At 50.9% G+C, this 12,190-nt stretch overlaps 1 pseudogene across 2 annotated transcripts, besides 1 other annotated feature; it reads left to right on the top strand.

The window, feature by feature from the left end:
- Positions 1-106: 106 nt before the first annotated feature.
- On the top strand, positions 107-8,247 carry AKR7L (aldo-keto reductase family 7 like (gene/pseudogene); annotated as a pseudogene). 2 transcript variants are annotated; one of them, NR_040288.2, is made up of 7 exons: positions 107-368; positions 3,294-3,481; positions 3,674-3,778; positions 4,550-4,646; positions 4,858-4,957; positions 5,528-5,657; positions 6,768-8,247. The product of NR_040288.2 is annotated as an aldo-keto reductase family 7 like (gene/pseudogene), transcript variant 1, noncoding (transcript). The 2 variants fall into 2 exon arrangements; NR_040289.2 differs by lacking the exons at positions 4,550-4,646; positions 4,858-4,957.
- Positions 4,334-5,182: an enhancer, noted in NCBI's record as "H3K4me1 hESC enhancer chr1:19595541-19596389 (GRCh37/hg19 assembly coordinates)". NCBI's record gives its function as "activates a minimal SCP1, AML or CMV promoter by ChIP-STARR-seq in naive H9 embryonic stem cells {active_cell/tissue: H9 hESC(naive)}" and the evidence as "EXISTENCE:reporter gene assay evidence [ECO:0000049][PMID:30033119]".
- Positions 8,248-12,190: the final 3,943 nt, after the last annotated feature.

Below are 12,190 nucleotides of genomic sequence, written 5' to 3'. Positions count from 1 at the left end.
GGCGTTGGGCACCTTTGGCCGCGCCCTCCGCTCCACCACCGGTGGGCGCGGCCCGAGCCAGTCCCTAAAGCCACGAGGCCGCCCGCTCCGAGCCTGGTGCTTCCGACCGCTGCGCGCGGCTCCTGGGCTGTCACAGTCTCCCGTTGCCGCCGTCATGTCCCGGCAGCTGTCGCGGGCCCGGCCAGCCACGGTGCTGGGCGCCATGGAGATGGGGCGCCGCATGGACGCGCCCACCAGCGCCGCAGTCACGCGCGCCTTCCTGGAGCGCGGCCACACCGAGATAGACACGGCCTTCCTGTACAGCGACGGCCAGTCCGAGACCATCCTTGGCGGCCTGGGGCTCCGAATGGGCAGCAGCGACTGCAGAGGTAACAGTGGCCCCTGATCCTCCCTCTGCACGGTGCAGAGCTGAGCCTGTCACCAGCCGTGCGCTGCCCCGCTCTCCCTGGCCCCGGGCAGCACCCACGGCTTCGTCCCCCACCCCATCCCTGTCCACACCGCAACTCTGGGAACCGCCAGTTCCTCAGGCACATCTAGCTCTGGACAACTGGATGGTGCTTTGTCCGGACTCCTTTTCTGTCGTCTTCTCTTCCGGGAGGTAGCCCAGCACCCTCACTGACGCCTGGATGACTTGGTCTTGCCTGGAATGACTTGGCTAGCCCCTCTCTGGAGCACGAAAAACATTGGAATCTAGCATTGTGCAGCTCCTGTCCCCACCTGTGCCCTTCAGGTGCCCTTGACGGGCCTGATCTGCAGAAATTCTGTTCTTATCGCCTGGCACAGTCCAAAATCAGAGTTTGGACCCAGCACACTATCTGCTTCCTCCTACGCTCATGCCAGACTGCTCGGGTCCCTGGACTTTGCTCTGGTAACTCACCAGGGTGACAATGCCTGGGAGCCTTGGCAGCTCCCTCAGTGAGATGGGGAATTGGGTGTGGTACAGGGTCTCGCTGCCCTCTCTGTGGGATGCTCTGTCTGAGGCTATTGGAGAGAAATGGACACTAACCCACTCCAGGAATCTCCAATTCTAGCGATGGCTGGGGAGCCGAGTGAGCCCTTCTTGGGAGGGACCCCGTGAAGAAAGATAGGATAGGAGTTTGCCAGGAAGAGTACAAGGGGCAAGGGCGTCAGGGCAGTGGGCATGGGTGTGGAAAGGCAAATGCGACTTGGCAATGCCGCCGGTGCTGGGGGAAGCAGGTGTAGCCCGAGGGGAAGATGTGTGTAAAGGGGCAGGAGGAGCCGCCCTCAGTCTGATGCCATTTGCAGTGCTTAGGCCGATGCCTGGCAGGCACATAGTGAGGGCTGGGAAATGTTAGCTGTTTCTTTGTTCTTAATATTAGCACCATTTGCCTCCTTCCACTCTGAGTGTCTGAGTGGAGTCTTGTCCATTTCTCCTCTGATTCACCACATGGTACATCCCAAACAAAAGAGGCCTGTGCGTGCATTTCAGTGCCACACTCTTTCTAGATCACCTGGCTGCCACTCGGTGAGAGCTCTGATCTTATTTCCGGTCTTTTTTTTTTTTTTTTTTTGATACAGGGTCTTGCTCTTTTACCCAGGCTGGAGTGCAATCATGGCTCATTGCAGCTTTGGCCTCTCAGGGCTCAAGCGATCCTCCCACCTCAGCCTCCTTAGTAGCTGGGACTACTACAGGCCTGTGCCACCACACCTGGCTAATTTTTTGTATTATTCATCGAAACCAGAGTCTCACTTTGTTGCCCAGGCTGGTCTCAAACTCATGGGCTCAAGTGATCCTCCTGCCCTGGCCTCCCAAAGTGCTGAGATTACAGGTGTGAGCCACCACAGATCTGCACCCTCTGCCTGGCCCTTATTTCTGATTTTTTTTTTGTTTACTTTTTTAATCCTTGTCTTCTGTCTTTGAGTCCAAGGTTGGCTGGTGAAAGTCCTCAGATCTCAGATCTGAAGTTAAGTTCACATTGAGAAGCAGAGGGGTGGTGGTGGAATGGAAAAATTCCAAATGAATAATTCATCAAACCTGCTCCCTCCCAGGTCTCAAGGGCTCTAGTGACTGCCCTCTTGCCAGCCTAAGTGACTTTCTAAGTGTGAAAAGTGGGAAGAGGACTCTCCACTCACCTGTTATTCCAGCCCACTAGGATCTAGGATTTTTTATTTTTATTTTTATTTTGAAATAGGGTCTCATTCTGTCATCCGGGCTGGAGTACAGTGGCATAATATTTGCTCACTATAGCCTTGATCTCCTAGGCTCATGTGATCCTCTCAACTCAGCCTCCCCAGTAGCTGAGATTACAGGCATGTACCACCATGCCTGGCCAAATTTTGTGTTTTTTGTAGAGATGGGGTTTCACCATTTTGCCCAGGCTGGTCTCAAATCCCTGGGCTCAAGAGATCCACCCTCCTGGGCCTCTCTCAGTGCTCGGCTTATGGGGGTGAGCCACTGTGCCTAATCTCCAACTAAGATTTTTTTTTTTTGCGGGGGGGACAGAGTCTTGTTCTGGCACACAGGCTGGAGTGTAGTGAAAGATCTCGGCTCACTGCAACCTCTGCCTCCTGGGTTCAAGCGATTCTTGTGCCTCAGCCTCTCCAGTAGCTGGGATTACAAGTTTGAGCCACTGAAACCAGCCTCCAACTAGGATTCTTAATACGGGGCAGGGAGAAGAGTGTTAAGCTTACTTCTTCTTTTTTTTTTTTTTGACAGTCTTGCTCTGTCACCCAGGCTTCACTGCAATGGCACGATCTGGGCTCACTGCAACCTCTACCTCCCAGGTTCATGCAATTCTTTTTTTTTTTCTTTTTTTTTGAGACAGAGTCTCGCTTTGTTGCCCAGGCTGGAGTGCAGTGGCGCGATCTCGGCTCACTGCAAGCTCCGCCTCCCGGGTTCATGCCATTCTCCTGCCTCAGCCTCCTGAGTAGCTGGGACTACAGGCGCCCACCACCATGCCCGGCTAATTTTTTGTATTTTTAGTAGAGACGGGATTTCACCGTGTTAGCCAGGATGGTCTCGAACTCCTGATCTTGTGATCTGCCTGCCTCAGCCTCCCAAAGTGCCGGGATTACAGGTGTGAGCCACTGCACCCGGCTGGTTCATGCAATTCTTGTGCCTAGCCTCCCAAGTAGCAGAGATAACAGGCGTGTACAACCACCCCCAGCTAATTTTTGTATTTTTAGTACAGATGGGGTTTTACCATGTTGGCCAGCTTGGTCTCAAATTCCTGACCTCAGGTCATTTACCCACCTCGGCCTCCCAAAGTGCTGGGATTATAGGCGTGAGCCACCACATCCAGCCCTGAATTTTCATTTCTCTTTCCTCTCAGTGAAAATTGCTACCAAGGCCAATCCATGGATTGGGAACTCCCTGAAGCCTGACAGTGTCCGATCCCAGCTGGAGACGTCACTGAAGCGGCTGCAGTGTCCCTGAGTGGACCTCTTCTATCTACATGCACCTGACCACAGCGCCCCGGTGGAAGAGACACTGCGTGCCTGCCACCAGCTGCACCAGGAGGTGAGGGGACCCCTGAGCTCTGGGAGGTGGTCCACTGCTGCTCTCCTTATCCTGATCCTAATGGTGAGAGCAGAGGCACCAGGGCAGTTCCAGGGTGGAGCAGGGAACAGCCCAACTCCCAGGGGCCCCACCCTGACCTCCCTTTCCTGGTCTGGGCTGCACTATGTTCTGACTGGAGCCTCACCCGAGCAGGGCAAGTTCGTGGAGCTTGGCCTCTCCAACTATGCCGCCTGGGAAGTGGCCGAGATCTGTACCCTCTGCAAGAGCAACGGCTGGATCCTGCCCACTGTGTACCAGGTGAGGGCCGGGGCTGCAGAGGCCAAGGTCTCCAGAACTCCTGCTCATCCTGGGCTGTCTTTGCCCCTCTGACTGCCCCCATGCCCTCTGCATAGCAGCCACTCCCCTGCTGAAAGCCTGCAGATGGCTCCCAGGTACCCTCAGGATGCCATTCAAGCTCCTCAGGCTGGCCACTGGGCATCTGCTTCCTTCCTGCCTATCTGTGCACCTTGGACCCTTCCTTCCCTACCTTCCCCTGCACTCAGCCTGGAACAAGCCCTTCCCCCACCACCGCCCCTTCTGTGAGAGAATGGTTCAGGTCTCACATACGTGTCTCTTCCTCTGGAAGCCTTTCTAGATGGGCCCAGAAGACCCTGAGACCTCAGGTCCTTGTTTACCTCCTCATGATTCATTGCACAAATATTTGCACACCTGCTTGGTGCCAGGCACTGGTCACAGAACTTTCTAGTCTATTATGATTGCCTCATGACTCGATTATAACTGTTTATGCTTGACCTTACTACAAAATATTTGAGGGAAGGGACCTTGTCCTTTTAGCTTTTGAATCTAAATCTGACAACCAGCCCACAGTTGGTGCTCATGAAAGTTGGCAGAATGAATGAATTTTCCTAGGGCATAAGCCCCTTTCACCAGCACCAGTAAGAATAAGTATATGCCCAGATGGTTAAAATCCTAGAATTGTTAAGGTCTGAAATAAGGGTTCTATGAGGGTAAATTTAGGTCCCTTCTTTTGACACATCCACCCTCTCCCCGGGGCCCTTCTCCTTACAGGGCATGTACAGCGCCACCACCCGGCAGGTGGAAACGGAGCTCTTCCCCTGCCTCAGGCACTTTGGACTGAGGTTCTATGCCTACAACCCTCTGGCTGGTACGTGGAGCATTCCTGGCCCTGACTCAGCCTATTCCCGACCCACAGATGCCCAGCCCAGGACCTGGGAAGAAGGGAGGGTTTGACAAGAGGCTGGGCTGCATCCTTCAGCCCTCCTGGGTCCCTGCCCCTCCCCTAGACCAGAGCCCTGAGGGATGTGGCAGCTTCTGGGGCACTCTGGGCCCGGGGGCTGATTGCTGCCTTCCCGCAGGGGGCCTGCTGACCGGCAAGTACAAGTATGAGGACAAGGACGGGAAACAGCCCGTGGGCCGCTTCTTTGGGACTCAGTGGGCAGAGATCTACAGGAATCAGTTAGTTGGGGGTGCTTGATGTGGATGGCTGGGGTGGGGTCAGCTTTATGTGGAATGAAGTCCTGGGCTGCTCCTGGGGTAAGGCCTTTCCTCGCTGTCTGCACCTACTCCCCTGCATTCCTTCAGGAATTCCCAAGCCCTCTGTGGGTTTTCTTGTTGTCTTGGGACCTCCAGGAGGAAAGGAGACTCCCTGGACCTCGGTGTCTTGAAGTCGTAGCTCTTTCCTGAGCAATCACCCGCTACAAAGGAAAGAAAGAGCCCTGGAAGGAGGTCCAGGAGGCCTGGGGCTGAGTCCTGACCTGTCTCAGTGGCCTTCATGTCCGTAGGGGAAATGAGAGCAGGCTGCTGAGTTCTCAGGAATAAAGATTCGTTGAGGTCTCTGCTGAGGGGCCCAGCATCCTGGGTGGTTCTGATGCCCAGAAAAGTGAGAGACCTATGACTAGAGAGGACACCCGCCCCTCAGGGCTGCAGGGTGTGGGGTGGGGCAGTGGCCTTGGATGGCTCTTTGGTTGTGGCTTCCAGTGTGACCCTGATGGTACTGACCCCTGTGCCACCATCCCCACTGAACAGCTTCTGGAAGGAGCACCACTTCGAGGGCATTGCCCTGGTGGAGAAGGCCCTGCAGGCCGCGTATGGCGCCAGCGCTCCCAGCATGACCTCGGCCGCCCTCCGGTGGATGTACCACCACTCACAGCTGCAGGTAACCAGCGACCCTGGGTGCTCAGCTTCTTCCCTTCCAGGGGAACCAGCATTCATTACCTTCAGGTGAAGCCCAAAGCATTTGTTTTCTCGATTCCTCTGAAATTTCTTTCTTCCAACTCTCATAAACACTCTTCCCACTGGTCTTTTTTTTTTTTTTTTTTTTTTTTTTTGAGACAGAGTCTCGCTCTGTTATGCCAGCTGGAGTGCAGTGGCATGATCTCGGCTCACTGCAACTTCTGCCTCCCAGACTCAAGCAATTCTCCTCCCCCAGCCTCCTGAGTAGCTGGGATTACAGGCACGCACCACTATGACCAACTAATTGTTTGTATTTATAGTAGAGATGGGGTTTCGCCAAGCTGCCTATGCTGGTCTTGAACTCCTGAGCTCAGACAATTCGCCCTCCTCAGCCTCTGAAAGTGCTGGGATTACAGGCGTGAGCCCCTGCGCTCGGCCTTCCCATTGGTCTTTGATGGTATCTGAGTGCCAGGCTTTGTAATGAGGGCTTCACTGCAGGGATTTCATTATTCCTTCAGCTTTATGAAATGACTATCCCAGTGTTATTGATGAGGAAACTGAGTTTCACCCAGCTATGAAAGGGGAAGACATTTTAACACAGGTTCAACTGTAAAGCCCACTAGCCTCATCCTTTTGGTGGGAGCTGGAGTTTCCCTCTCTCAGTGCCTCATGTCTTCCTCACTTATATCCAACTCCAGCCTTAGATGTTGCAATAGTGTCTGGCATATATACAGTAGGTGCTCAATAAATGGGAGCTAAGTGCTCTACATAATTTTTCACACCCATAACCATGTTGAAAATAGAAAAGAGGATTGAATCTCAGAGAGGTTTAATAACTTAGCCGCGTTTACACAGCTGCTGGGGGGCAGAACTGGGCTGTGAATGTAGGTCTGTCTGGAAGCGTCGTGTGGCAGTAGGGGAAGGGATACAGGTTTTGCGTCACATGGGTACAGCTATCCAAGGCACCTTAAGTTCTTTCTGGACATATGGGATACAAGAGATCCCAAATCTCAGCAGGGAGGTGGCTGGGACAGCTGTGAGTGGAGTCGCTGTGCAGCAGAAGAGGGTTGAAGTCTGGCCGTCTCCCTTGCAGGGTGCCCACGGGGACGCGGTCATCCTGGGCATGTCCAGCCTGGAGCAGCTGGAGCAGAACTTGGCAGCGGCAGAGGAAGGGCCCCTGGAGCCGGCTGTCGTGGACGCCTTTAATCAAGCCTGGCATTTGTTTGCCCACGAATGTCCCAACTACTTCATCTAAGCTCATTGTGGCTCAGGCTGCCCAAGGCTTTTCTGTCAACTCTTTTGCTCTCTCCCGCTTTGTCTAATTTAGAACTGCCTCACTAAATTCTTAGGGATGGAAGTATTTGGAAAAAAACCTAACAGTAGAGTCACCACCTAAGGAAGAATAAAATCTCCCAGGGTGCTGTGTGTTAGTCTGTTTGCGTTGCTATAAAAGAATACCTGAGACTGGGTCATGTATAAAGAAAAGAGGTTTCTTTGGCTCACAGTTCTGCAGTCTGTACAAGAGGGTGTGGTGCCGGCATCTGCTCTTGGTGAGGGCCTCAGGAAGCTTAGAATCATGGCAGAAGGGGAAACGGAGCCAGCGTGTCACATGGTGAGAGAGGGAGCAAGAGACAGACAGGGGAGGAAATTCACACACTGATGGTGGGGATGTAAAATGGTACAACCAGTTTGGAAAACAGTTTGGCAGTTTCTCAAAGGATTAAACATAAAATTACCATAGGATTCAGCAGTTCCACTTGTGGGTATGTAGCCAAGAGAAATGAAAACATATCTCCCCACAAAAAAACTTGGGTATGAGATTTCACATTATCATTGCTCATAATAGCCAATAAGTAAAAACAACCCAAATGTCCAAGAATGAATAAATGGATAAACAAAATATGGTATATTTATACAACAGACTATTATTCGGCCATTAAAAAAAAAAAAGAGTGGCTGACACCTGTAATCTCAGCACTTTGAGAGGCCAAGGCAGTAGGACTGATTGAAGACAGGAGTTCCAGACCAGTCTGGGAAACAAAGCGAGACCCTGTCTCCACTAAACATAAAAACAAAATTACTGGGGCCCCATGGCACACACCTGTAGTCCCAGCTGCTCGGGAAGCTGAGATGGGCGGATTGCTTGAGCCCAGGTATTCAAGTCTGGAGTGAGCTATGACTGTGCCACTGCACTCCAGCCTGGGCGACAGAGCAAACCCTGTTTCCAAACAAACAAACAAACAAACAAATACACAGACAGAAGTAGTTAAACATCTACAAGGTAAGTGCATCTTGAAGACGTGTTAAGTTAAAGAAGCCAATTACAAAAGGTTTCACGTTGTATGATTTCGTTTATATGAAATGTCCAGAATAGGCAAATCTGTTTGAGAGAGAGAAAGTAGATGAGTACTTGCCTAGGACTGGGAGGAGGATTGCGAGGAAATGGAGATTCACTGCTAATGAGTACAGGGTTTCTTTTGGGGGCGCTTATGAAGATGCTCTGAAATTGATTGTGATGGTTGTACAACTCTGAATACATGAAACAGCATTAAACATCACTTTAAGTAAGTCAACTGTATAGTGTCTGAATTATGTCTCAATACTGTTGTTTTTAAAAAACAAAACAGGCCAGGCACGGTGTCTCATTCCTGAAATCCCAGAACTCTGAGAGGCCTAGGCAAGGGGATTGCTTGAATCCAGGAGTTCAAGAGCAGCCTGGGCAACATGGTGAAATCCCATCTTGACAAAATATACAAAAATTAGCTGGGTGGTGGCAAACCCACTGTTTGGGTAGAACTCAGTGGGGGAAGCCTCATCTGTTCCCCGGTGTCTGAGGCGTGATTTAGCAGCTGTAGGCTAGGGTCACCTGAAGACATTCACTTATCAGCTGCTGTCATTAACTGGCACACATGTGGCCTCTGCATGTGGCTTCCAAGGGAGCACATCTCAAGCAATCTAGGCAGAAGCCATGTGGCCTTTTATGTCCCAGCCTCAGGAGTCCATAGCATCACTCTTGTGTCCTGGGAGGGGAGTCAAAGATACCTGTACAAAGAGCATTTGAGAGCATGGGGTGGTTATCTTAGGAAAATAAACTGTAACACTGGGAGCAACGGTCCTGAGTGGTCAAGTCGAGATGAGCCCCAGGAGCTGCTGAGACTCTTGAGTATCCCCATCAGGGATGCATTCTCTGCTATGCCACATCCCACCTATTAGAATCTTCTGGATACTATATCTCAAAGATAGTTGATGTCCACTTGAATTCAGCCATTTCATATCTTTTTTCTCTTCTTTTTTTCCCACTCCACCTCCTCCCTCAGCCATTTTATATCTAAAGAGCTTCTTCAAGAGACAGTTCCCAAACAGCACCTTAAATATATATACAATTCGTATTTGTTAATTTAAAAACAAATGAGAAGGAACAAAAAGACCTAAAGGAGCAGAGCTGGATCTGGAGAGCGTCTAATATATATTTATTCATCCTCAAACTAAGGAAACTGCTCTGTGCTGTATAAAAGACTGGAGAAGGGCCAGGCGCAGTGGCTCACGCCTGTAATCCCAGCACTTTGGGAGGCCGAGGCGGGCGGATTATGGGGTCAGGAGATCAAGACCATCCTAGTTAACATGGTGAAACCCCGTCTCTACTAAAAATACAAAAAATTAGCCGGGCATGGTGGTGGGCGCCTGTAGTTCCAGCTACCCGGGAGGCTGACGCGGGAGGATGGCGTAAATCCGGGAGGTGGAGCTTGCAGTGAGCTGAGATCATGCCACTGCACTCCAGCCTGGGCGACAGAGCAAGACTCCATCTCAAAAAAGAAAAAAAAAAAAAAAAAAGACTGGAGAAGGAGGTGACATAGATTTTGCACATGGGAATTCATGAGGAGGGGAGTTCCTGAAACTTCAGGCTGCCATGGGCTGCCCTACTTGCTTCATTTCTGACCTGCTTGTTCCCAGTGACTGGGTTGGTTGGCATCACCAGTGTCTCAAATTGGGCCATTCTGAATACATTTCAGAAGCAACAGGAAGGTAAGAGTGCCAGGCTCCACAATTGTTTATGAACAAGTACATTTCTGCTGCATGGATTTTTAATTTAATAAGGCTGTTTTTACCATGGCTTTTTTTTTTTTTTTTTTTTTTGAGATGGAGTCTAGCTCTGTTGCCCAGGCTGGAGTGCAGTGGTGCAATCTTGGCTCACTGCAACCTCTGCCTCCCGGGTTCAAGCAATTCTCTGCCTCAGCCTCCCGAGTAGCTGGGACTACAGGCGCCTGCCACCACACCTGGCTCATTTTTTATATTTTTAGTAGAGACGGGGTTTCACCATCTTGGCCAGCCTGGTCTTGAACTCCTGACCTCGTGATCCACCCGCCTCGGCCTCCCAAAGTGCTGGGATTGCAGGCGTGAGCCACCGTCCTTACCATGGCATTTGTAAGTGTATGTCCACTGCAGAAACAAATTTCTATTCTCAATGTTGAGCTTTATTAACTGAATTTGAAATAGCATTCACAACAGTTAGATGCTTTCTCTCTCACAAAATGGATTTCCAAAAGCTTTACTCTGATTCCAAGAGTTGGATGGAAGACAGTTTATATATACAAGCTGGAAGCCACCACACCCAGTCTATTTCTTAAAATTTGGACAATTTATTAAAGTGATATGTGCCCATGGTTAAAAGCTGTCACTTTCCAAGTCTCATTCCTCAGAGGCAACTTCTAGAAATTCTTGCAGCTTTCTTTTTCTCTAGCAGTTACTGCTGCACTATGTCTAAAGTATACACTTGGCTGGGGGTGGTGGTTCACACCTATAATCCCAACACTTTGGGAGACAAAGGTGAATCGCTTGAGCCCAGGAGTTTGAGACCAGCCTGGGCAGGTCAGTGAGACTGTCTCTACAAAAAAATTTTAAAAACTAGCCAGGCATGGTGTCATAGGCCTGTAGTTCCAGCCTTAGGAGGCCAAGATAGGAGGATTGCTTGAGCTTAGGAGTTTGGCCTGGATATTAAAGCAAGACCACCATCTCTTATTAAAAAAAAAGCTACACACTTTATCGCTATTCCTTAATATATCAAATTTAGATGTCGTGTGTGGGCTGCTGGAAAGTTCCTGATCTTAGATTTACCAAATCCACACCTGCAAGGTTAATATTTGTGCACAATGTGATTTATTACTTCTTTTTGTTTTCTCCCCCTGGGAGGAAGGCAGAAACAAGCCAAGCTCCATGGAAGTGGTGCCAGTGCTAGTTTTGTTGAAATGGCCAAGGACTTAGGCAGCAGTGTCCAACATTTGGGTTCACCTTGTGTGCACTGCTGTGATTTACAGCCTTATTTGGATGATAAGGATGATCAGAAACCCCAAGGGTTTCTAATAATCCTTGCCATGTTCAGGAACCACCGTCCTAAGCGGAGGTTTTCTCAAGCTTTTCACACTGCAGGGCCCAGGCTACAGCCCTGGAGCATCGAGACCTGCTGGGTTTCATCCCATCTGTTCTTTACAGTGTGCAAAGCTGGCCAGGCCCCTTACTACCTTTATACTTGGCATTTAGCACATGGGGCTGGCATGGGGCATTTCCCTTCCTCACTGAGCAGGTGAGGGCAGGTGGCTCAGCCAAGGCCGCAGAGCCAGGATTGGAGATCAGGACTTGTCATGGGTCCTTGTGTCCCCCAGGGCACACAGGTGTGGTGCTGTAGGTGCTGAGGGGTCCTAAGGTGGCGGGTGTTTAACACCTGGTGAGGTTAAATGCTAGGGTTTTTTCTTCGAAATGGGGTCTCACTCTGTTGTTCAGGATGGAGTGCAGGGGCTCGATCACCACTCCCTGTAGCCTCTACCTCCCAGACTCAAGTGATCTTCCTGCTTCAGCCTCCAGAGCAGCTGAGACTAGAGGCGCACATCACTACGCCCGGCTAATTTTTTTTTTTTTTTTTTGTAGAGACAGGAGGTCTCCCTACGTTATCTTGGCTGACTTCTAACTTCCGGCATCAAGCAATCCTCCCTTCTTGGCCTCCCAAAGGGCTTGGATTACAGGTGTGGCCATCACGCCTGGCCAAATGCAAGGATTCTCGCCCACTGCCTCCCCTCTAGCCACCCAAGAACACGGATGAGGGGCCCAGAAACATGCATGCATTCTGATGCTCAAAAATGTAAGATGTCTACTTAGAAGCCATTAGCCCCTCAGTGCTTCAGGGACCTGGGTGCAGGCAACCGCCCTGAGATGACCCCTAGTACTGACCCCCGTGCAATACCCTCCCCCAACCCAGCTTCTGGAACAAGCACCACTTCAAGGCCATGGCCCTGGTGGAGCAGGTCCTGCAGATTGTGTATATAGCACCAGTGCCCCTGGCATGGCCTTGACTGTCCTGCGATGGACCACTCGCAAGCTGCAGGTAACCCAGCTGTCTCTAGATGCTCAGCTGCTTCTCTCAAATTCTGTGGGGGTGGGGAGACTGGGGAAGCTGCGAGGGCTATGCAGTCATTTGGTCACTTTGACCAAGAGGAGTTAAGTCCTTTTCTTCCTATGAAGGCTCTC

Source organism: Homo sapiens, chromosome 1 (genome assembly GCF_000001405.40).
Source record: "Homo sapiens chromosome 1, GRCh38.p14 Primary Assembly".
NCBI classification, from domain to species: domain Eukaryota; kingdom Metazoa; phylum Chordata; class Mammalia; order Primates; family Hominidae; genus Homo; species Homo sapiens.
This window is presented reverse-complemented; position numbering and strand designations above follow the sequence as displayed.